General features: G+C 49.2%; 1 protein-coding gene across 8 annotated transcripts in view, besides 4 other annotated features; it reads left to right on the top strand.

Moving 5' to 3' along the window:
• Positions 1-23,140, top strand: part of VDR (vitamin D receptor) — a 63,458-nt gene that overhangs the window by 31,615 nt on the left and 8,703 nt on the right. For all 8 annotated transcript variants that reach the window (NM_001374662.1, NM_000376.3, NM_001364085.2 and 5 more), the window contains 4 exons: positions 8,203-8,333; positions 15,692-15,876; positions 16,131-16,251; positions 17,579-17,750. In NM_001374662.1, the coding sequence (NP_001361591.1) occupies positions 8,203-8,333; positions 15,692-15,876; positions 16,131-16,251; positions 17,579-17,750 (609 nt within the window). The remainder of the gene's footprint in view (positions 1-8,202; positions 8,334-15,691; positions 15,877-16,130; positions 16,252-17,578; positions 17,751-23,140) is intronic.
• Positions 3,516-3,565: an enhancer, noted in NCBI's record as "active region_6272". NCBI's record gives its function as "activates an Ori minimal core promoter by ATAC-STARR-seq in GM12878 lymphoblastoid cells {active_cell/tissue: GM12878}" and the evidence as "EXISTENCE:reporter gene assay evidence [ECO:0000049][PMID:35858748]".
• Positions 4,332-4,401: an enhancer, noted in NCBI's record as "active region_6271". NCBI's record gives its function as "activates an Ori minimal core promoter by ATAC-STARR-seq in GM12878 lymphoblastoid cells {active_cell/tissue: GM12878}" and the evidence as "EXISTENCE:reporter gene assay evidence [ECO:0000049][PMID:35858748]".
• Positions 4,387-4,887: an enhancer, noted in NCBI's record as "H3K4me1 hESC enhancer chr12:48262276-48262776 (GRCh37/hg19 assembly coordinates)". NCBI's record gives its function as "activates a minimal SCP1, AML or CMV promoter by ChIP-STARR-seq in naive H9 embryonic stem cells {active_cell/tissue: H9 hESC(naive)}" and the evidence as "EXISTENCE:reporter gene assay evidence [ECO:0000049][PMID:30033119]".
• Positions 4,502-4,681: an enhancer, noted in NCBI's record as "active region_6270". NCBI's record gives its function as "activates an Ori minimal core promoter by ATAC-STARR-seq in GM12878 lymphoblastoid cells {active_cell/tissue: GM12878}" and the evidence as "EXISTENCE:reporter gene assay evidence [ECO:0000049][PMID:35858748]".

Raw genomic sequence — 23,140 nt, 5'->3', positions numbered from 1 at the left:
AAAAAAAAAAAAAAAAAAAAAAAAAAAAGAAAACAGGTTTAATTGACTCATGGTTCTGCATGGATGGGGAGGCCTCAGAAACTTACAATCATGGCGGAAGGTAAAGGGGAAGCAAGGCCTGTCTTACATGGCAGCAGGAGAGACAGAGAGCAAGTGAAGGGGGAAGCGCCACACTTTAAAAACATCAGATCTTGTGAGAACTCACTCAGTATCACAAGAACAGCAAGGGGGAAATCTGTCCCCATGATCCAATCATGTCCCACCAGGCCCCTCCTTCGACACATGGGGATTACAATTCGAGATGGGATTTGGGTGGGGACACAGAGCCAAACCATATCAGTCAGATTCCTTGGAGTCAAACAGTTCTTGATTCTAATTCCAGCTTTCAGACTTGCTAGCTGTGACTTAAAGCAAGTTATTTAACTTTCCCGTGCCTTTTTGTGTCACTTGTAAAACAGGGATAATATCTACCCAAAGGTTGTCGAGAGCATTGGAGATAGTATGTAAAATACTGACCTAGAAAGCTTCCAGTGGTGATAGCTAGTATCATTATCCCTTTTTAGTGTCTTAGTTTTGAGGACAGATGGTCCTTTCTTCCTTTTCTCTACCATGGAACTTGGAAAGTATAACTATGTGATGTGTTGGCAGTGGTCTCTGAAAAGAGGTTCCTAAACAGAAGGAGTTAAATATCAGGTATGAAGAGGGAAGGGCTGGGCCAGGGGCTCTGAGAGAGCTTCATGTCGGTCAAAGGCTGGGTAGAACTGGCTGGTGCTCAACAGAACTGGACAGTGGTTGCTGTAACTAGCACAGGGGCTGTGGCTCTAGACATCAGGAGCTACAGCACATGAAACAGAAATATGGTTTCAAACTCTGCTGCCTGCAGGCTCCCATGCTAGGCACCCAGAGAGCAGGCCTAAGACATGGTGTCTGCTTCAGGGGTCTCAAATTCTTAATGAGATGTTTAAAATCTACTTTAAAATCTACTTTCACCCACTCTCAGCACTCCCTCCCACTGCCTCTTTCTGCTAGTTTCTCTTCTTTCCCTTTATTTAGGGTTTCCTTTGTCCAGGTCCTGTTCCCTTTTCCTTTATTTAGTTCTTACAACCCTCTCTGAAATGTTGCTCCCATTTTACAGATGTGGAAACTAATGGATGGGAAGGTTAAGTAACTTGCCCAAGGTTGTGCTTTAAGATTTAAACTCAAACATATCGATCTAACCAAAGACTGCATTTCATTTTTAATGTTTAGGTAGTTGTAGTGGGTAGTGGATTTTTTAAATGTAACGTCATAATATGGCTTTTTAAAAAGCCAACAGTTTAAGAGGATATGTAAGTGAAAAGTAAATCACCTATTCAACCCAATTCTTAGTTCCCTACCTCCTCCAGGAAGCTGTCACTGTTGCCAGCTCATCGTGTTCGCTTCCAGATTCTTTATGTAAAAGTGCATATGTGTGTGTGTGTATGTGTGTGTGCACACACGTCACCATTCTGCATCTTGGTTTTATCTGCTAAAGAACACTTCTTCAAGCTCATTCCCATTTCAGCATTCTTCCTCTTTCTTTTTCATAGTCACAGAGTATTATATGGAGGTTCTGTGAGATAAGAAACCAGTGCCTGGCTGGGCACGGTGGCTCATGCCTGTAATCCCAGCACTTTGGGAGGCCAAGGTGGGTGGATCATTTGAGGTCAGGAGTTCGAGACCAGTCTGGCCAACATGGTGAAACCCCATCTCTATTGAAAATACAAAAAATTGGCCAGGCGTGGTGGCACATGCCTGTAATTCCAGCTACTCGGGAGGCTGAAGCAAGAGAATCGATTGAACCTGGGAGCCAGAGGTTGCAGTGAGCCCAGATCGTGCTGCTGCACTCCAGCGTGGGTGACAGAGTGAAATTCCATCCAGAAAAAAAAAAAAAAGAAAGAAAGAGAGAAAAGAAGGAAGGAAGGAAGGAAAGACAGATAGACAGACAGATAGAAAGAGAGAAAGAGAGGAAGGAAGGAAGGAAGAGAGAGAGAGAGAGAAAGGAAAGAAAGAAAGAAAGAAAGAAAGAAAGAAAGAAAGAAAGAAAGAAAGAAAGAAAGAAAGAAAGAGAAAGAGAAAGAAAGAGAAAAGAAAGAAACCAGTCCTCTGTCATGGTCATTTAGGTTCGGTCTTTGGCTTCTCCAGACAGAGCTGCAGTAACCACCATTGCGCCCATGGACCGATCTACCCACAGGATAAATACCTGGAAGTGGCTTTACTGCGTTAAAATGTCTGTGTGTTTAACATGCTTCGCATTGCCAATTGCCCTCCAAAAAAAAAAGTCTGTGCTCTTTTCTACAGTGCTAACCATCCTTTAATGTTTTTTTAAACCCACCTGAGGAGAACCCCCTGATGCTGCCTCTCACATACATGTAGGCCCCTACATCATTTGATGTAGGTCTTTTTATTCCTTTAGATTTGCTGGGGTATAATTGACAGATAGACATGGTCTATATTTCAGGTGCACAACTCGATGTTCTGCTATACATATACATTGTGAAATGATCACCATAATCAAACTAGTAAGCATTCCCAGCACCTCACATAGCTTTCAGATCAGGAGCTCTCGCTAGTTCCTGTATCCTGAGCAGACGCTGGAATCTCTGTGACAGTGCAGTGGAGATGGAGCCCAGAGGGGATAGTTGACCCTACGCCTGGGTTATGCAACGTGCGTCTCTGCTGGCAGAGGCCACCTACTGGAGAAAGGCCCAACTGTCCCAGGCCTGAGGCCCTGGCCCCAGGCTCTTGATGCTTTTGTGAGGTTTTTGTCTCTTTCTGTTTTGATAAACTGGTCTCTGGCATGAGAATCGGTCAATGTCCTCTCTCACCCCTGGCTTTCTAGAAACTGCATCTATATTTAGCTTGGTTGCCCCACCCCTACCCCCCCTTCCTGAGCTGGGGTATAAATGCCAACCAACCAGAGGATGACAGGGTCCAGGCTCAGAGAGCAGCTGAGGCAATGGGCTCTCATGGAAACCTGAAGCTCTTGTTTCTCAAATCCAAACCAGCTCACAGGCAATTAGTATTGGGAGGAAGGCAGGGTAGGGTGTAGACCTTCAGGACAAAGCACAGAGCCAGGGTTGGGCAGTCTGGCTGCCCTGACTCCTCGTGGGCAGAGAGTAAATGACAGCCACACATGTGGAAGTGCCCTTGGAAGGCAGGAGAACAGGGAAGAACAGGACCTCTGAGCCAAGAGGATCTGTGGCCCAGCAAACAGACATGTTGGGCCAGACACACCTGAAAGGCCAGCTCTGGGATCTGAGTTCCAGAGAGCCTCTGGGTCTGGCAGTTGGAGCTGGGGAGCAAACTTTCTATACCCTGAACACTGACCCCACGCTCCAGAGCGTAATGGTGTCCTCTTCCTTTTCAGTGTTCTCGGGCTTCATATGACAACTCTTAAGCAGAAGCAAGGGCGCCAAACTTTTTTTTTACCCCCAGTACTTTCTCTTTTATTTTTTATTTCTAGAGACAGGATCTCACTTTGTCACCCACACTGAAGTGCAGTGGCACAATCTTGGTTCACTGCAGCCTTGACCTCACCAGCTCAAGCGATCCTTCCACCTTAGCCTCCCAAGTAGCTGAGACCACAGGCGCATGCCACCATGCCTGGCTAATTTTTTTTAATCTTTTGTAGATACAGGGTTTCACCATGTTGGCCAGGTTGGTCTCAAACTCCTGAGCCTAAGCTATCTGCCCACCTCAGCCTCCCAAAGTGCTGGGCTTACAGGCGTGCTCACGCCACTGCACCCAGTCCCAGTACTTTCTCTTAATTCAGCTCTGCACTATTTTCTCTTCCTATTCCTTTTTTTTTTTTTTTTTTTTTTTTGAGATGGAGTCTCGCTCTGTCCCCCAGGCTGAAGTGTAGTGGCACGATCTCAGCTCACTGCAAGCTCCACCTCCCGGGTTCACGCCATTCTCCTGCCTCAGCCTCCCGAGTAGCTGGGACTACAGGCGCCCGCCAACACGCCCGGCTAATGTTTTGCATTTTTAGTAGAGATGGGGTTTCACCGTGTTAGCCACAATGGTCTCGATCTCCTGACCTCGCGATCCGCCTGTCTCGGCCTCCCAAAGTGCTGGGATTACAGGTGTGAGCCACCGCGCCCGGCCTTCTCTTCCTATTCCTAGCCTCATTCCTGTTGTCAGGCAAAGTGGGGCTGAGTGGCAATCTCCAACCCTCCTGCGTATAGACATCTGAGATGGAGCTTCATATTTAAAGTGACATGAGAAAAATGAGAGAAAGATGGCGAAGCAGTGGAATCTCTTTTCAGGCAACCCTGCAGCTGGGGGGGCTGCCCCCAAGTGAGGGTCAAAGGCAGGCTCCCTGGAGCCTGGGGAAGGACAGACGGGGCCTCTGATAGGCCCTGGGGCCTCAAGAAGCTCTCAGTCCCGGGCCCAGTCTGGTGAGAGGCTTTGGCTCACATCACTGTAGGTGGTGGCTGGGCTAGGCTGACGATGTGCTGTCTTCTTGGTGCCCATGGCCTTGCAGGCTTAACAGGAAGAGCTCTGAGCCAGACAAGACAGCCAGTGGGAGGACAGAGCAGCCCCTCAGTGACCAGAGCGAAATGCCCGGTTGTTGAAAAACAAAAAAAAAAAAAAGGAAATGAGAGTTTCTTCTGAAATAGAAACTTCTGGTCCTTGAGTAAGTTTAGAGAATTACGGGCATTCTGAGGCCTGAGCATTTGTGGTGACGGATGAAGCCTCAAGAACCACAAGGTTGGTGGGAGGGACACCAATCTCATGTCCTGGAACATACAGATGTCCCTGTGGGGATAATTGTATCTCGTTTCTGGGGAACCCTAACAGTTCCCAAGATGCTTCCATATTCTCTTGTCCCTCCAGAAAAGCAGCAGTAAACAAATAGAGGTGAACGGCAAAAGGCTTTTTGTTTCTACGAAGATGGAAAAAAGCCTGGCGTATAACTTCTTTCTTGTTAGCTACTGCAGGGTTAGGACTGGGCCTGAGGCGGGCTAGACTTGGAGCTAAGGAGCCCCTGATAGCCTGGTGCTGCTCCACCTCCTGACAACCCTGGCTCTGCAGTAGGCCCCTTGGGTGATGAGGGTTGTCACAGCAGGGTACCAGAGCCAAGGTCCAAAACCAACAGCAGCTGCTTCCTTGACTGTTGGGTCATTCTTGGCATTGAGCCACCTGGGGCTGTTTGGGGCATCAACTTCACTGAGCACTTTAAGTTTCTGGGGTTGAAAACAATCCAGGAAGCTAAAGGCTAAGCCTTAGATCCCTAAGACTTCCAGACCTAGGAGCCTGCACTTCTTGCTGAATATCCTCACCTGTAAGTTTCTTAACCTCAGTGGTCCCACGTATAAAGGGAGGGAGTTACACTGACGGTCTCTTGGGCCCTCTGTGGATCTAAGAGTCTGGGCCTGCCTGGGACTGCCAGTAGAGCCCTACTCTGGTCTCTTCTCTATCCCAGGGGCTGAGTCGGTGTGGTCCCCAGCTGTCCATTTGCTAGAGCAAGCTTGACAATTGATGAGTGCGATTCCCCTCAACCCCATGTATGTTCTAGTGAATGTGAACAGTGAGTCATGTTTTACCAAGAATCCTAACTAATGCCTGGCCCCTGAGCAGATGACGTCAGTAGCTCATCTCCAGGAAGGAAATGGTTGGGCCTGGGCTTTGGCTTGGAAGGCTTGGGCATCTTCACACTCAGCAGTTCCTTGGAAGATGCTGCTGCTCATGCAGACAGTGATTCTGCCACCATCTTTCCCCATCTAACTATGTCAGAAAAGTGGGGCCTACTCCTGCTGGGGCTGGGAGGAGGACAGGACTCTCAGGACATGGATGATGAAAAGCCTCTAGGGAGGTGCCTCAGGGAGGTGTCCTTTATGCAGCCTCCCAAAGTCCACGTGGTGTGGCTGGCAGTGGGAGAGAATGTTCGAATTAGGAAAATGAGCCCTTAAATGTGCACACTTGTGCACACACACACACACACACACAACTTACATAGGCTACAAGGGTGCCACTTTTCTTTTTCTTTTCTTTCTTTTTTTTTTGAGACAGAGTCTCATTCTGTTGCCTAGGCTAGAATGCAGTGGCACAATCTCGGCTCAGTGAAACGGCCGTCTCCCAAGTTCAAGTGATTCTCCTGCCTCAGCCTCCCGAGTAGCGGGGACTATAGGCATGTGCCACCGTGCCCGGCTAATTTTTGTATTTTTAGTAGAGATGGGGTTTCACTATGTTGGTCAGGCTGGTCTCAAACTCCTGACCTCATGATCCACCCACCTCGGCCTCTCAAAGTGCTGGGATTACAGGCCTGAGCCACCACACCCAGCCTCAAGGGTGCCACCTTTCTAGCTAAGAACACTTCAGTAGTTTTCTGGGTTTTTTTTGTTTTGTTTTGTTTTGTTTTTTGAGACAGGGTCTTGCTCTGTTGCCCAGGCTGGAGTGCAGTGGCATGATCTTGGCCTACTGCAACCTCTACCTCCTGGGTTCAAACGACTCTCCTGCCTCAGCTCCCAGCCCCCAAGTAGCTGGGACTACAGGCATGCACCATCATGGCCAACTAATTTTTGTATTTTTAGTAGAGACGGAGTTTTGGCATGTTGGCCAGGCTGGTCTCAAACTCCTTACCTCAGATGATCCGCCCACCTCAGCCTCTCAAAGTGCTAGGATTACAGGCCTGAGCCACTGTGCCCAGCTCTAGTTTTCTGTTCCTACAGAGCTCCTGCTTCCTCTTCCTTTCAAAAAACCCAAGGCCAGGCCTCAGGATTTCCACCTGCTTGTCTGGCCCCTTCTTTTTCTGGGCAGGTTCTGGGATGTCTAGAGCTATGGTTTGGGCCTTTTCTTCCTTCCATGTACACATCTATCCCTGGAACAGGAGCTATTCCAGTCACAGGTCTCTAGAATCTAGAAGACTTCATGCTGAGACTAGCATCCTTACTTCTCATAGCGGCTCATTAAATGTTATTATGCTGGCTACTCTGGAGATTTCAATATTTAAAAAGGTTTCTTCGGCCAGGCACAGTGGCTTACGCCTGTAATCCCAGCACTTTGGGAGGCCGAGGCAGGCGGATCATGAGGTCAGGAGATCGAGACCACAGTGAAACCCCGTCTCTACTGAAAATACAAAGAATTAGCCGGGTGCGGTGGTGGGCGCCTGTAGTCCCAGCTACTCGGGAGGCTGAGGCAGGAGAACGGCATGAACCCAGGAGGTGGAGCTTGCAGTGAGCTGAGATCGCAACACTGCACTCCAGCCTGGGCGACAGAGCGAGACTCCATCTCAAAAAAAAAAGGGTTTTTTCTAGGGAAATGCACTTTTGTTATTTCCTGTTTAATTTTTTAAAATGGGAAGGGGAACAGAGTACTGTAAAATAAGTATAAGAGTCGGGGCGTGGCTGTGCGCGATGGCTCACGCCTGTAATCCCAGCACTTTGGGAGGCCAAGGCAGGCGGATCATGAGGTCAGGAGATCGAGACCATCCTGGCTAACACGGTGAAACCCCATTTCTACTAAAAATACAAAAAAAAATTAGCCAGGAGTGGTGGCGGGCGCCTGTAGTCCCAGCTACTCTGGAGGCTGAGGCAGGAGAATGGTGTGAACCCGGGAGGTGGAGCTTGCAGTGAGCTGAGTGAGCCACTGCACTCCAGCCTGGGTGACAGAGCAAAACTCCGTCTCAAAAAAAAAAAAAAAAAAGAGTCGGAGTGCAGTGGCTCACACCTGTAATCCCAGCACTGTGGGAGGCCTAGGATAGAGGATTGCTTCAGCCCAGGAGTTCCAGACTAGCCTGGGCAACATAGTGAGACCCCATTTTTACAAAAAAATCAAAAAATTAGCCAGGCATGGTGGTATGCACCTGTAATCCCAGCTATACTGGAGGCTGAAGCAGGAGGATTACTTGAACCCAGGAGGTCCAGCCTGCAGTGAGCTGAGATCATGCCACTGCATTCCAGCCTGGGCTACAAAGCAACACCCTGTCCCCCCAAAAGAAACAAAAATTAAAAGAAAAAAGGTAAGTACAAGCCATGATTGGAGCTGGGCAGGCAATGAAAGGAGAAGTAGGAATCGTTTGGTGCCCAGCCTAGAGGTGAGAGTGACTGGCAGCTGGGGTGGGCCTCATGTCTTCTGTTGGAGAAATGGAGACCAGGGGGCCCAGAAGACAGGTCTCCGTGATGACAGGGTGAGGAGCCGGAAGTTCAGTGACCCAGGGCAGGGTGTGTGCTCTCTCGGCAGGCGAAGCATGAAGCGGAAGGCACTATTCACCTGCCCCTTCAACGGGGACTGCCGCATCACCAAGGACAACCGACGCCACTGCCAGGCCTGCCGGCTCAAACGCTGTGTGGACATCGGCATGATGAAGGAGTGTGAGTGTCCAGGGGCTGGGCAGGGTTTGGGCCTGAAGTGGAGTCAGGGAAAGGCCTTGGCCACTCTCCTGCAAGTTTGGGCAGAGGGTCTGCCTGCCCTTCCTCTGTAGCTGCCAGCATCTGGGGCCAGGGCCTCAGTGGGACCAGCAGCTGGTGACAGGGCAGCTGGAAGTCCAGGGTCAGATGCACTCAGCGGCCCTGTGCACCTCTTGAGGATCTGTGTGTTGGTGTCAGAGGCCCTGGAAGGGTCCCTCCAGAGTGGGGCCTGAGAGGAAGGAGAGGCCGGACACTGCCTTCAAGAGTCCCTTCTACTCCTGGGTCAGGGTCTTCCTCCAGGATGTCATTCTTTTTTCACAGCTCCCTGTTACTCGGACCTAGAGGGAAGAATGAGGTTCAAGGACCCCCAGGTTCTATGGGCTTGGGAAGAGAGGGCTGATGTGGGTTAGGAAGGGCAGGAGTGATGGGGAGAATTAGTATTCAGAGCATAGTTGGCATCCACGTTCTGTCCCACCCCAGCCTCCCAGCCTCTCTGGCGCCTTGAGCAGATCTGAGGGCTTGTGCCAGGGAGAGACCAGGAGGAAAGAGTCTGCCAGGGGAAGCACTGGGTTCTAGGACGACCCTCTGAATCCAGATGGAGAAAGAGGAGTGATTCTATAGGACTTCCTGTCCCTCTCTGGGGTTGGAGAAGACCAACATGGCATATTTACATGGATATTTTGACCCATCACTGAAAACAACACTTGAACTTTGCATCAGAGCTCTAGGACAGTTATTTGGTAACTAGAGTAGGCATTGAATTCAGTAGATGCTGGGAGGGGCCAGCCTGGCCCTCTCTGGGCTGGAGCAAGGCCAGCTGGGCATGGGTGCTCTCTGTACACTCATTCCTTTTTCTCCTTCTCTTGCTCACTCCTGTCTGCCATCTGCATCCAGACCCCCACCCGGCCCTAGGACAGAACCCAGGCCCTCCTAGCTGTGGGTCTGAGGAATCGGAGTCGGAGTCGGGGTGGGGATGTTGCTCAGATGCGGACCCTCCTGGCTATGGGACCGTTTGGAGTGGTTGGGGATGGGGAGAGGTCAGGTAACAGGAAGATGTGTCAGGGACAGAGGATAAGTCACAGAACAGGGCTTAGAGGATAGCAAATTTCTCCGTTAATGGGAAAAAAATTATCTGTTGTTGGGACACAGAGGCAGAGCTGAGGCCCTGACCCTGGGCTTCCTCTTTGGGCCTTGACCTAGGCTTCTCTTCTGTGGGTCATGACTCCTCCCTCCTGATCTGACGGCTCCCCAGCCAACACTGGCAGCCCTGAAAGGTGTTTCCAGGGCTGTGGTTTCTCCACACCATCACAGGGTGCAGGCCTGGGCACGCTGGTCGCTCCTACCCTAGTCCCTGCCACGCCCTGGCTCCTGTGTTTATCCTGGAGAGAATAAGAAGTGGAGGCTGGAGGCCCGGGTGCCTTAAGAGGCTTCACACACATTCTCAGTGGGCCCTGCTCAGGGTGAGGCGTTAGGGTGGGCACCAACAAGGTGTGCTCAGCACAGTCCCATCTCCGCAGAGAAGACAGCCTCTGCAAAGCAGGGAGTCCGGTTTCTAAAGCTCCAGCTAACCAAGACTGGCACGAGGTTCCACTGCAGTGGTTCGTAAGGCACTGCCACAGGAGTTCCCCTCAGGACTAAGCTCACTGATGCCCAAGAGGCCCCTCTCCTACCTCAGGAGGAAGAGGATGTCTTACTGACTTAAAATAGAAAGAACATCTGAGACTCAGAGAGGTAAAGACCTCAGGTCTGGGGTCAGAAAGCAAGTTGGTGGCCAAGCTGGGACTAGAATCAGACTTCATGTCCCCTCCTACCTGCCTCCTGGTCCCCATAAACAGCGCTGCATCCATGGTGAAGAGCAGCACCAGCCTGGGGTAAATCAGGGGGCCCTGCCCAGGAGCACCCTACCACGTGGTGGGAACCCAGCAGCCCAGAAGCGATGTCCACCCCATCCCTCAGCCACGCCCACCCCAGCCTAATTCTCTCCTGTGGAGTCCTGTGTCCCCATCCTGCTGTATGCCCAAGGTAGCTTCTCGCCACACCACCCTCCTCATCCCAGTGCAGGGAGCAGTACTCAGTTCTAGATGGGCTGGTGGAGCGGGGATCCAGTTAAAATAGAAACGTCCTGATGCTTTTTACTTTCCTGAAGGGAAGACTGTCCAGGAAGAGACATTCCCAGCCTCAGGTTAGTCCAGCTTCAGGAGGCCTCACCAGTGTGAAGTCCCCCGGCCTCAGAACCCTGGGAGAGCTGCACATTTCTTATCTGGGCTGGGTTTTGTCCCCAAGGCATAGCATCCCAGAGACAATTGAGTGTCTCAATATTTGTAAAACCACAGGAAGAAAGCTAAAAGCCCAGGCTCCTGCTGTCCGAGCAAGGAGGTGGGCCTTCCATAGAAGAGGCACAGGAAGGGAAAGGATGAGGACAGAAACCCTGTGTATTGACCAACTACTGTGTGTCAGATAGCACATCAAGCACATGCATTTTCTTCTGAAATTCTCACAACACTCCCTAAATACGTAAATACTTTTATTTTTTCAATAGCTGAGGAAGCTCAGAGGAATTAAAATATCATGGCTCTCAGCTAATAAGATGATGGTATCAGCATTCATTCTAATCTAGGTCTTTCTGCTTCCAAAGGGCAGGCTTGTGGGCCACACCCGAGGCAGCCTCTCGTGGCCCCAGTGGGTCGGAGCTCACTCCATTGTGCATTTCCAGGCACTTTCACATGCTCTAAGAGATGGATTGAAGAGAGCTTGGTCCCACCAAAGACTCATTTTCTCTCTTTTCCATTCTTAGTTGACTTTATACCCTGGGAACCCAAGAAATTTTATAACTGAGTTCTTGCTTTTTGCTTATACTATTACCTGTCCTGCACAGAACCACACATTGTGGTAACTTGTTTGATGTTTTTACAGATGTATGTCTTTTCTCCCTGGTGTTAGTAAAGTACCTGGCACATAGTAGGTGCTCAATAAATGTGTGGAATCAATGAATATTAGCTCCTCATTATGCTTCTTTCTCTCTGTATATCTTCCACAGGTCTATAGATCAGTAAGATTCTCCCAAACCTGATCATGTCTGTGCCGTTCATTTGGAAACATTTTATGTCCTCTTCCTGTGGTTGTTCTTAGCCCATCCTTGGCATCTTGAAATGTTTTCAAATTGTTTATGTTGCAGATCTTGGCTTCGTTAAGGAGAGAACATGTCTTGCATGGGAATAACTTGCGCAAAATTATTTCACACTCAGCAAGGAGCTTAAAATGAAGTCAAAAAAAGCTTCTGAGCAGCCATGTAGGTTTTACAAAGTCCACATGCCAAAACTCATGCACTTTAGACGCCTGATCACCAGACAGCCCAACACTCTTTCAGAACCTGTTTACTCTTATTCTAGGTCAATGGCTTCATATATCATATAGTGTCTTCCTATATGATAGTAATGACATCTTAGGTTCAATCCATTGAAAAAATGATAAGAAATTTCCCATGAAATTAACAAGATCTTTAAACAAATTATTTCGTAAATCACAGTGCATTTGCATATGTGAAAGACTTTAGACTTATTCAGTCCTCAAGCAATGTTGCCTTGCAGAAGGCTCATGGATTGGGCCTGTGTGAAACTGGTAGATCTCAGCATTTCTTCCTCTGTTACCTCCATAGAAGATGGAGGTTGCTATTTGATGCAAGTGACTGGGAGGAATCATGTTATAGGGTTAAACTTGAACTTTCTTTGTCTCTTTAAAGTGGGTAATTTACAAGCTTTGTGACTTAATTTTATTTTCACACTCTTCAGATGGATTGGAACACAATGCCTGTCAAAACTCCATGGCTGAAAGCCAAAGTCCGCTTATAACCAGATGTAATCAGACACAGTAGAGGCTAGTGGTTATGACCTTCCACTCCAGAACCAGACTGCCCAGGTCTAAATGCTGGTTTCACCACTGTTAGCTGTGTGACTTTGAGAAAGGTAGAAAGCCTCTCTGGGCCTCAGCTCCCTCATCTGCTAAATGGGAATAACAACAGCACCTGCCTTAAAGGGTTGTCATGAGGGCTAAATATATGAGTTAATATACAAAAGGCTCTCAGAATAGTGCCTTATAGATAGAAAAACTCTTTATGTGCCATCCAGCATTACGAATATTTTCTTTTTATTACATCAAACTTGATCACCAGAACTTCTAGCTCCCAAGAGATCAGAAGTAAGTCTTAAGGGGGAGAAAGGCACACATCCAGAGGCAGACACCAATAAGAAGACAACGCATAGTTTAACAGGGAGGTGGACACTGGAAGCAAGAAAAGCAGCCCAAGAACTCCAAAGCCCAGCACGCCAAGCCATGCAATGCGGGGCAGACAGCCTCTGACAACTCTGAGGCTGTAACCTTGTCCTGCAATGTTCAGTAATTATTCAGAATGATACCTCTGAATCATCAGGGAAAGGTTATATGACGTTAAAAGTGTTCCGTTACAAGGTTTTCTGTCTTGAAAATCTTTCCATAACAATTGTTTCAATAAAAGAGGTCAGCTTTCTCAGCTCTCTGGTGTGCCAGGTGCCATTCACTACATTGCAGGAGACAAGCAGCACTAGAGTACTCACTAGCCTTTCCTGAACCAGGAAAATGATTTGCACACAGTTGGTGTAATCTGTGTGGATGCATTTGATATTTGGTGTCAGACTATTGAGCAGACACCACGGCCAGGTAGCCCCTCCGGTCTAGCCTTTATGGGGGAAATATAAGAATTGTAAGACAAAGGCCGGGCATGGTAGCTCACGCCTGTAATCCCAGCACTTTGGGAGGCCAAGGCGGGCAGATCACCTGAGGTCAGGAGTTTGAGACCAGCCTGGCCAACATGGTGAAACCCCATCTCTACTAAAAATACAAAAAAATTGGCCAGGCATGGTGGCATGTGCCTATAAGCCCAGGTACTCTGTAGCCTGAGGCAGGAGAATCGCTTAGAACCCGGGAGGTGGAGGTTGCAGTGAGCCGAGGTGGTGCCACTGCACTCCAGCCTGGATAATAGAGCGAGAGTCTGTGAAAGAAAGAAAGAAAGAAAGAAAGAAAGAAAGAAAGAAAGAAAGAAAGAAAGAAAGAAAAAGAAAGAAGGAAGGAAGGAAGGAAGGAAGGAAGGAAGGAAGGAAGGAAGGAAGGAAAGAAGGAAGGAAGGAAGGAAGGAAGGGAAAGGAAGGGAGAGAAAAGAAAGAATTGTAAGACATGGACCCTGCCCTTAAGTAACTTGTAATCTAGAGAAAGAGACCTTGAACTTCTTGGGCTCCGTCTATAGGTAATGAATTGAAAACTGTGCTAACCATGAGTCTTACAGAGCAGAAGATAATTGGGTGTCAATGTGTGTGGGAAAGACTAAATATGTAGCAGGCATAGGAAATGAGGCTCAGCAGAAAAAAACAAGGCTTGATGCAGATCAGGGCAATCAAGAAATGCTTCATGGAAAAAGATGGCTATGATGTAGGCACTGAAGAACTGGTAGAACTCATACAGGTTTGGGGGAGAGAAAACCCAGCTGGACGGGCACCTAGCACAACTGGAAATGCAGGGGCGAGCATGAGCAGGTCATGTTCCCAGGCCAGCAGCAATGCCAGCATGCCCAGAACAGAGGCTGTGTCCAGAAGCACTAAGACATGAAGTCTGAAAGTTAGGAAGAGGCCAACTTTAGTTTGGACGTGGTCATCAGTAGGGGCCGAGAAAAGTATCTGGGCAGGAGAATGGCATCACAGAATCACTGGAAAGTTAGCAAAGTCCAGTCAGGCTGAGCTACGTGCCTGTAGACACCATGGTGTGGCTGGCAGAAACAGGTCTCCCTAACTCTGGTCCCCAGGTGAGCAGGAAAGACAAGACACCTAATCTTGGGCTCCCCAAGCGAGGGCTTACCCCCATTGCCTTCCCTGGATGCTCCCTGCCCCTTCCTCTCCCACCCTGCCTGACCTGGTAGGGTCTGTGCAGACACCCACTGTGGGAGGAGAGTTGGCAGCTGTTTGGGCAGGTGAGTCAGTCACCTGGGTGTGGTCTACTCCCAGGCTCCCTGTGGAGGGAAGCACCATCTCTTGCAGTAGCGCTCGCTTTCCTGCCATGCCTGTGGCATTGGCTGTCCACTCCCTCCCAGCATAGGCTCTTCCTCACCCCACAGCAACTTCTCTCGTCCTCCCCCTACCTGAGGGCCTGGGCCAATGGACCTTTCTCAAAGCCTGGAACTCACCCACCCTGGGCTTCTGGTTCCTTTCTCTGCTCTTGTGAAACTCCCCAGTTCTGTGGGCAGATGCCCTGGCAGCAGCAGCACCAAGCAAGTAGCTACAGGCCAAAGGCCCTGGTGCCCACTCCTGCCGTCAGCACTCAGCAAGCCACAGCCAGGAGGTCTGTTTGCCCAGCCGCCGTGCCAGGCACCTTTGCTCCCAGCATCCCCTCCACCCCCACAGCTGCCCCAGCACAGGGAGGCAGGCAGAAGCCTGCAGGTGGTGGTGGGGCTCTCTATGGCCCCACACCCTGATTAGTGGCTGGAGAGAACTTCTAAGATTAGAGCTGCAAGGCCTCACCCTTTGGGGCCTTCAAGAGGACTTGAAAACTTCCATGGACAGAAATGTCAAGGCTGTACATGCTGGAGGAGGGGTGGTTTTGCAGAGAACCAAAGAGGTCTAGTCTTTCTATATTCCACAGTCCCATGTCTGGAAACCTGGATGTGGAGACAGCCACATAGAGGAGTCCTCTCCACATCTCACTTCCAGCGCTATGAGAGCTCTGGCATCCTCTCTTCACCCTGATATCTTCTTCAGGATCATGGAACATCAGGGTAGGGAAGAGAAGAGAACTAACATTTAGTGAGCATCTGCTCTGGGCCAGGCATGCATCCAGTTCTCAAATCAGTTGATCCTTTGAGGCAGGTATTATTACTTCCCCCACCTGCATGTCAACACACACAGACACACACACACACACTTTATGGAGGAAGGTACAAGAAAGGAACCTTGGAAGAACTTACATGGTCCAAATCTCTCATTTTACAAACAAAAGAACAAAAGCCCAGAGAGTTTGCCCAAGGTCCCACAACTTGTTCTTGAGAACCCCGACTCCCTAAAGCCCAGATCATCCCCCCTCTCAAATCCTCTTTTTCTTCTTCTTGCATGTGCCTTCCTTTTCACCATAGCAAACCCAATTTTTCTTCACACAGTGGAGTGGGAGTCTCCGTGGCAGGAGGACCCCCGAGGGAGCCCCGAGTGTTAAAGCCCCTCCTATCTTGGACCTTTACCCCCAACCGCAGGAGGAAGGTTTCCTGGAGGAGCTGCTGGCCAGCCCTCCTGACTCCCCTTCCCACCCCACAGTCATTCTGACAGATGAGGAAGTGCAGAGGAAGCGGGAGATGATCCTGAAGCGGAAGGAGGAGGAGGCCTTGAAGGACAGTCTGCGGCCCAAGCTGTCTGAGGAGCAGCAGCGCATCATTGCCATACTGCTGGACGCCCACCATAAGACCTACGACCCCACCTACTCCGACTTCTGCCAGTTCCGGGTATGTCTGCCTGCTGGGAGGATGAGCCGGTCCAGAGGAGAAGCACTAGTGGAGCCAGGGCCCAGGGAGTAGGGACAGAGGGCAGGGGACATCCTGAACAGAACTGGGGTAGGGACGGAGGCTGCTCTGCCCCTGGCACTGGGAGGCTTCGCCTTCCTGTAGACCTTCCTCAAAGCCATTCCTATCAGAGATCAGGGCCAAGGTAGGAAGGCAACCCCAAAATGTGGGTCTGAGACCCCATCTTTCCCTTCCAGCCTCCAGTTCGTGTGAATGATGGTGGAGGGAGCCATCCTTCCAGGCCCAACTCCAGACACACTCCCAGCTTCTCTGGGGACTCCTCCTCCTCCTGCTCAGATCACTGTATCACCTCTTCAGGTAAGCAGGACTTCAGTCCTCCATAGAGTAAGGGAGCGGGGGCGAGGAGTCCACCGCACCTGCCCTGGGGCTGCTGGATGGAAGGAGGTGGAAGGCTCCCTAATGGAAACTTACATAAATACTGTGCGCTATGCAGCGTCTTCACAACAGCCCCTCTGTTACAGAAAGGGGTGACTTACCCAAGGGCCCACACTGGGGAAGAGGCCAAGCTGGGATTCCAGCTGTGTAGCATCAGCCTCCCGGGCCCATGCTGTTTCCTCTAAGCCAGGCTTCAGCCCATGGCCCCCTCCGTGGAGGTGACCTGCTTCCTTTACGTGATATTTTAATCCTGGGCCCTTCAGAAGGTGAAATTTGGAGTGGGAAGGTGAACGTGTTGGTCCTATTGAGGTCCACCTTCCACTTGAGCTCTGGGGACCACTCTGGCCCTGGAGGACCTGTCCCCTCCAGCTCAGCTGAGAGTCTGGGAGGCATCATGCTTTCCTTCCTTTCTTTTTTTTTTTTTTTTTAAAAAAAACACATATGTATATTTAGAAAAGAAATTGTGCTGTATACAATCTGATGACTTGCTTTTTTTTATATGGCATTGTTTTTCCATACCAGTTAGTACGCATCCAGAATATAATTTTTAAGGGCTGCATAGTATTCTGGAATACAATAATGTACCTAATCCCCTACCATTGGATATCTGGATTATTTCTCAGCATTTTAATAAGAAAACAGTATACTTGTAGCCAAATATTTACACTTATCGGAAATTTTCCCTTACAATGAATTCCAGGAAGTGTGACTACTGGTCAAAGAGTACACACAATTATTTGACTAATGTCAAATAGCTTTCTAGAGTACCTTCAGTAATGTGCACCTCCTTTAGCACCCCAGCCCTCATAGGCATTGCCTAATTTCCTGCATCTTTATAAATACTGGCATCAATATTTAAACATTTTTGTTTCTGGTTTGTAGGTGAAAATTATAGATGTTCTACACTGCAGTTCTTTGACCATTAGCAAGGTTGAACATTTTTTTCCATGACTTGATGGGTCCCAAATTCTTTCTTGATTGAGATCCATAGGAACAGCACACAGTCTGCTTGAGGAAGTCTCATTGCTCTGAGTGTCTCTGGCTCTTTGATTTTACTGCCTTATGCTGCTGAAAGAGGCAGAGAGAGTCCCAGAGGGAAGCCTGGGGCTGAAGGGTGACCTGTGGAGTCACTGTGGGATTCCCAGCTGGCTCTGCTGCCAGGGCACACCAGGTTTTTGCAGGGTCTGGCAGGAGGGGGCCTGGTCCAAGTATCCTTAAATAGCTCCTTCTCTTCCCTCATCTCTCCCAGACATGATGGACTCGTCCAGCTTCTCCAATCTGGATCTGAGTGAAGAAGATTCAGATGACCCTTCTGTGACCCTAGAGCTGTCCCAGCTCTCCATGCTGCCCCACCTGGCTGACCTGGTCAGTTACAGCATCCAAAAGGTCATTGGCTTTGCTAAGATGATACCAGGATTCAGGTAAGAAACTTCTGCAATCTCTGGGGAACAGAGTCAGAGTCCTAGACTGAGCTACAAGAAGGGTTGGAGATCACTCATCCACCACTTCTTTTTTTTATTTTTTATTTTTTTAAACGGCATCTTGCTCTGTCACGCAGGCTGGAGTGCAGTGGCGCGATCTCGGCTCACTGCAACCTCCGCCTCCTAGGTTCAAGCGATTCTCCTGCCTCAACCTCCCAAGTAGCTGGGATTACAGGCACCAGACACCACGCCCGGCTAATTTATTTATTTATTTATTTATTTATTTATTTTTATTTTTTTTCCAGACAGATTCTCGCTCTGATGCCCAGGCTGGAGTGCAGTGGCACTATCTTGGCTCACTATAACCTCCGCCTCCCGGGTTCAAGTGATTCTCCTGCCTCAGCCTCCTAAGTAGCTGGGATTACAGGTGTGGGCCACCAAGCCCGGCTAATTTTTATAATTTTAGTAGAGACGGGGTTTCACCACGTTGGCCAGGCTGCTCTCGATCACCTGACCTCGTGATCCAACCACCTTGGTCTCCCAAAGTGCTGGGATTACAGGCATGAGCCATCGCGCCCTGCCCTAATTTTTTTATTTTTAGTAGAGACGGAGTTTCGCCATGTTGGCCAGGCTTGTCTCAAACTCCTGACCTCAAGTGATCCACCCACCTCAGCCTCCCAAAGTGCTGGGATTACGGGCATGAGCCACAGCAGCCAGCCTCCATTGCTTCTTTAAAATAGAGATTCAGACCCTACCCTAGACCTGCGAAATCAGAATCTCTGGCGTAGGCCCAGAAATCTGTATTTAGAAAGTGCAGCCTGTCTTGCGTTACTCTGCAGGCCAGCACTGGAGAGCTAGTCCATCCCCGCACTTTCTGGATGATGGTGTGGAAGCCCAGAGAGGTCCAATGGCCAGCCAGGATCCCTTCCAGGTGTTGGAGCCAGCATGTCAGAGCCAGGCCTAGAACTCCCAGCTCACTGCTGTGTTCACTCCAGCTGGCTTGACTGGAATCCTCATATTATCTCTTTAAATTCAACGATATGATTCCTCCACACCCCAACTCTGAGAGCAGAATGAAGTGATAGAGAGAAGGGCTTGGCCATGTAGACTTGTGAAACAGTCTAGGAATCCTGGAGAGAGATAGGTTTACTGGCATATATGACCCTGGCATCCTTCACCAAAATGTACATTTAAAGACCATTTCCTGGCTGGGCACAGTGGCACATGCCTATCCCAACACTTTGAGAGACTGAGGTAGGAGGATTGCTTCAGCCCAGGAGTTCCAGACCAGCCTGATCAACATAGTGAGACCTCTTCTCTACAAAAAAAAAAAATTATAAATTAGCCAGGTGTGGTTGCACATGCCTGTAGTCCCACCTACTAGGGAGGCTGAGGCAGGAGAATCACTTGAGCCCAGGAGGTCAAGGCTACAGTGATCCATGATTTCACCACTGCACTCCAGCCTGGGCAACAGAGCAAGACCCTGTCTCAAAAAAGAAAAAAATAAAGACCATTTCCTAACCATACTGATACATTTTTGCCAAAATATATAAGTATAAGGAGTTCTACTGGAGAAGGGATCCTCCTTTATCAATTCATTCATATAAATTTCATTCATTTATTCCTATGTTTCATTGTTTTAACACTAGTACTGTATATAATACTTATATTTAAATACTCATGCAGTGTTAATTTTTTTTTTCTTTTTTGAGACGGTTTCGCTCTTTTCACCTAGGCTGGAGTGCAATGGCGCGATCTCAGCTCACTGCAACCTCCGCCTTCCAGGTTCAAGCAATTCTCCTGCTTCAGCCTCCCAAGTAGCTGGAACTACAGGAGCGTGCCACCATGCCTGGCTAATTTTTTGTATTTTTTTTGAGACAGAGTTTCCCTCTTGTTGCCCAGGCCGGAGTACAATGACGCGATCTCAACTTACTGCAACCTCTGCCTCCTGGGTTCAAGCAATTCTCCTGCCTCAGCCTCCTGAGTAGCAGAAATTACAGGCACGCACCACCACGCCTGGCTAGTTTTGTATTTTTAGTAGTAGAGTTGGGGTTTCACCATCTTGGCCAGGCTGGTCTTGAACTACTGACCTCAGGTGATCTGCCAGCCTCAGCTTCCCAAAGTGCTGGGATTACAGGCATGAACCACCACGCCCGGCCAATATTCTTTTTTTTTTTTTTTTTAATTGAGGCAGAGTCTCGCTCTGTCGCCTAGGCTGGAGTGCAGTGGCATGATCTCGGCTCACTGCAAGCTCCGCCTCCCGGGTTCACGCCACTCTCCTGCCTCAGTCTCCCGAGTAGCTGGGATGACAGGCGCCCGCCACTACGCCCGGCTAATTTTTTTGTATTTTTAGTAGAGACAGGGTTTCACCGTGTTAGCCAGGATGGTCTTGATCTCCTGACCTCGTGATCCGCCTGTCTCGGCCTCCCAAAGTGCTGGGATTACAGGCATGAGCCACTGCCGGCCAATATTCTTAAAACAATAGAGTATTGACACATTTAATAGATGTGTTGGGAAATGGCTATATTTATGTATATTTGTATCTTCATTCTTCCCCAAAGTTCATTTGGTATATTGCCATAAAATACATAAACAATATGGTTGAGAAAGAGAAGTAAATCAATCTCAAGCAATGTTATTGTCTTTCAAGTAGCAGCAATAGCTGTATTTACGGCAGAAGGGGCAAAATGCTTCCTAGATACTAATGCTCAGATTCAGTGCTGGAATATGGGGAGCTGGAAAATGAGTTAACATTGCCGGCTCTGGATGGAAACAGATTATGAGGTGCCATATATTGGTGTATGGCCCTCTTAGCTGTGTAGAAAAGCCATGAGTTATTGCCGAAATTAATGCCTTGCCAGTGAGATGATGGTCATTCACAGAGCTAAACCCAGAACTTTCCAGTTTGTTTCTGCCCTGAGAAAACTGGCTCTGTGTTATTTTATGCCTCTCACCAACCCAAATAACAGAAATTTTTCGATGCTCTTCCCCTGGAATTAATGTGAAAATGGTGAAGAAGAGAAAACTGGCAGACAGTGCTGAGACACTCCTACTGCATTGCACATTTTGGTTGTAGTGATAGGAGCGAGGGCCCCTCTGGCAGGCAGGCAAGCAGGAGCAAGCGACAGATCTTGTGTGAGCCCGGCATTGCTCTGAGCCCAGGGTTTACCCTCAGAGGCTTTCTTTGGAACTGACAACACATTCCGTAGAGCACAAGTTCCAACTCCCTCCTCCACGCTTCACGTTACTGTTTGCAAACTCCACATATTCCAAAGTCTTGTTTTGTGTAAACAGCTAGGGAAAAAACACAGAAGCACTCGGCTTCCATCCTCATGTCAGGCAGCAGTCCTTGTCTACACAGGCTTCATCCTTCCCTGCTCTAGTGGGGAGTAGGACAGAGGGCCCCCACGGCCCTTTCCAGATACAGTGATTCCAGGTTCAGTGATTCCAATGGTGGCTGAGATTGCATACACGGGAAAGCTGCCCTAAAAAGAAAGTTACTCATTAAATCGGATTACTCCAATGCTGCCCCCTTCACTAAGGAACCCCAGCCTCCAATTTCTCCCATGCTCAAGGCCCCTATCCATTGCCCTCCCACATGTACCCTGACACAAATAGCACTACTCTCAGTTTCTCTTCCCGAGGTTAAGTTGAAGTCTGCCCTCTTCCTTTCATCATGTTCTCCTCTGTCCCCTAGTCTGTCCTTGCAACTCATGGCTAAAGTGAGGTACATATGGCAGGTACAGGAGCTGCCCAGCCATTGATGCAAAATGGGTTAAACTGATCCTGAACATGCTAGGGTTGGCTTCTCTGTCTTCAGTATGACTTGAGAAGTCCCAGAGCAGAAGGTATGCCAATGAAAATGGAGCAGGCCTTGCTAAGAGAGCTTGCAGGGACACTGGTATGGACGCTCTCTGTGACTGGACAGAGGTGATGCTGAGCCTGGACTGGAGCCCAAACCTAGGCTCCAACTGGGCCCAGGGTGGGCCAGCCCAGTAGCTCTCTGGTTCTGCTGCTTTCCACACTTAGGGGTTCTATTGTTCCAAGACATAGAAGAACAGTGGCTGCATCCCTGGTGGCTTTGATCTTGCTGCCTGCAGGCAGGGGCGGAGGGTGTGGGGAAGGCAGGATGAGACTTCTGTGTGGGTGTGTGGGGGCACAGGATGAGTCTCCAGTGGGGGCATGAGACCAACGTGGGGCAGGGCTGGATGGGCTGTTCTTGGTGTGAACTGTGCTACAGTGTGGCCTTGGCCTGCTCTCTCCTCCCATCTCTCCTCCCTTAGCCTCTCAGTCTCACCCCACAAATCTCCCTCCCTGCTGGCACTGCAAATGAAATGCATGGAGGAGGTGGCATCAGCAGCAGCATCTAAATGGCCAAGAGCAGCCTTAGATCTGAGGACTTGGGACCCCCAGGCTTCACTGACAAGTAAAGTACACAAGAGACCAGGCCACATAAGCTGCAGCCCTGCCCTCTTCTGCTAAATGCCTTCACCTTCATTGCCATTTCCATACCTAGGGAAGAGCCCTGGGGGTTATCATGCTTCCTTCGTGCTGTGCCCTTTCTCCACATTCATTTCTTCATCCATCCAACAAATAGCTTTCTTACATAAACTGTGAGGGACAAAAGTTGTTGAGAAGACAGTCCCTGGCATCCAGGGATTTGGTGTCTGATGAAAGAGATAGACATGTAAACAATTGCTGCAAGGAGATAAGAGCCCTGCTACAAGCCTGCTGGAGGTACCGTGGGAATGCGGGAGGGGAGGGGAGGGGCCGGGCTCTGCCTGTGGGGGTGGGAAAGACGAAACAGCAACACAATTCCAGTCACATCTCGGGTGCCCAGAAGCGGCTGCAGGCGTGAAGACAGAGGAGGGTGTAAATGTCACACAGGTGAGGGAGGGGGAACGGAGCTGTGCTGGTGCCTATCATCGTGGAACAAGCTCTCTTATGGCTTCCCCTGTAACTCCACCTCTACTCCCACCACGCCACCATCCCTGGTCCTGGCTGTGAGCTGTATTTAGAAAGGCCCTGTATTTCCAGGCTGTGGGCAGTCATTTGGGGTCGTTTTGGGTTTGTGTTCCTAGCAGCAGGATGTCTGGATCACAAAAGCAGTGATCCCACTAAAACCTCTCTGGCCTGCATCCATGGAAGATGTGTTCACTGCTGGCCATCTGTTTGAGTGGGGCACTGAACAAAAGGCTATGTATAAAGTTATTCCTCCCAGAATTACCTATGATAGCAAAAATTGGAAGCAATCAAAATGTTCAAAAATAGATAAATGGAAGACTGGCTCAATAACTTAGAGTATACTGTTATGATGTAACATCATGCAACCCTCTAAGAACTGGGCTAAATAATTTTGAGTGATATAGGAAGTAGGATAAAGAATTAGT

This window comes from Homo sapiens, chromosome 12 (assembly GCF_000001405.40).
Source record: "Homo sapiens chromosome 12, GRCh38.p14 Primary Assembly".
Lineage (NCBI taxonomy): Eukaryota > Metazoa > Chordata > Mammalia > Primates > Hominidae > Homo > Homo sapiens.
The sequence above is the reverse complement of the archived record's forward strand: the minus strand, read 5'-3'. Positions and strand labels throughout refer to the sequence as shown.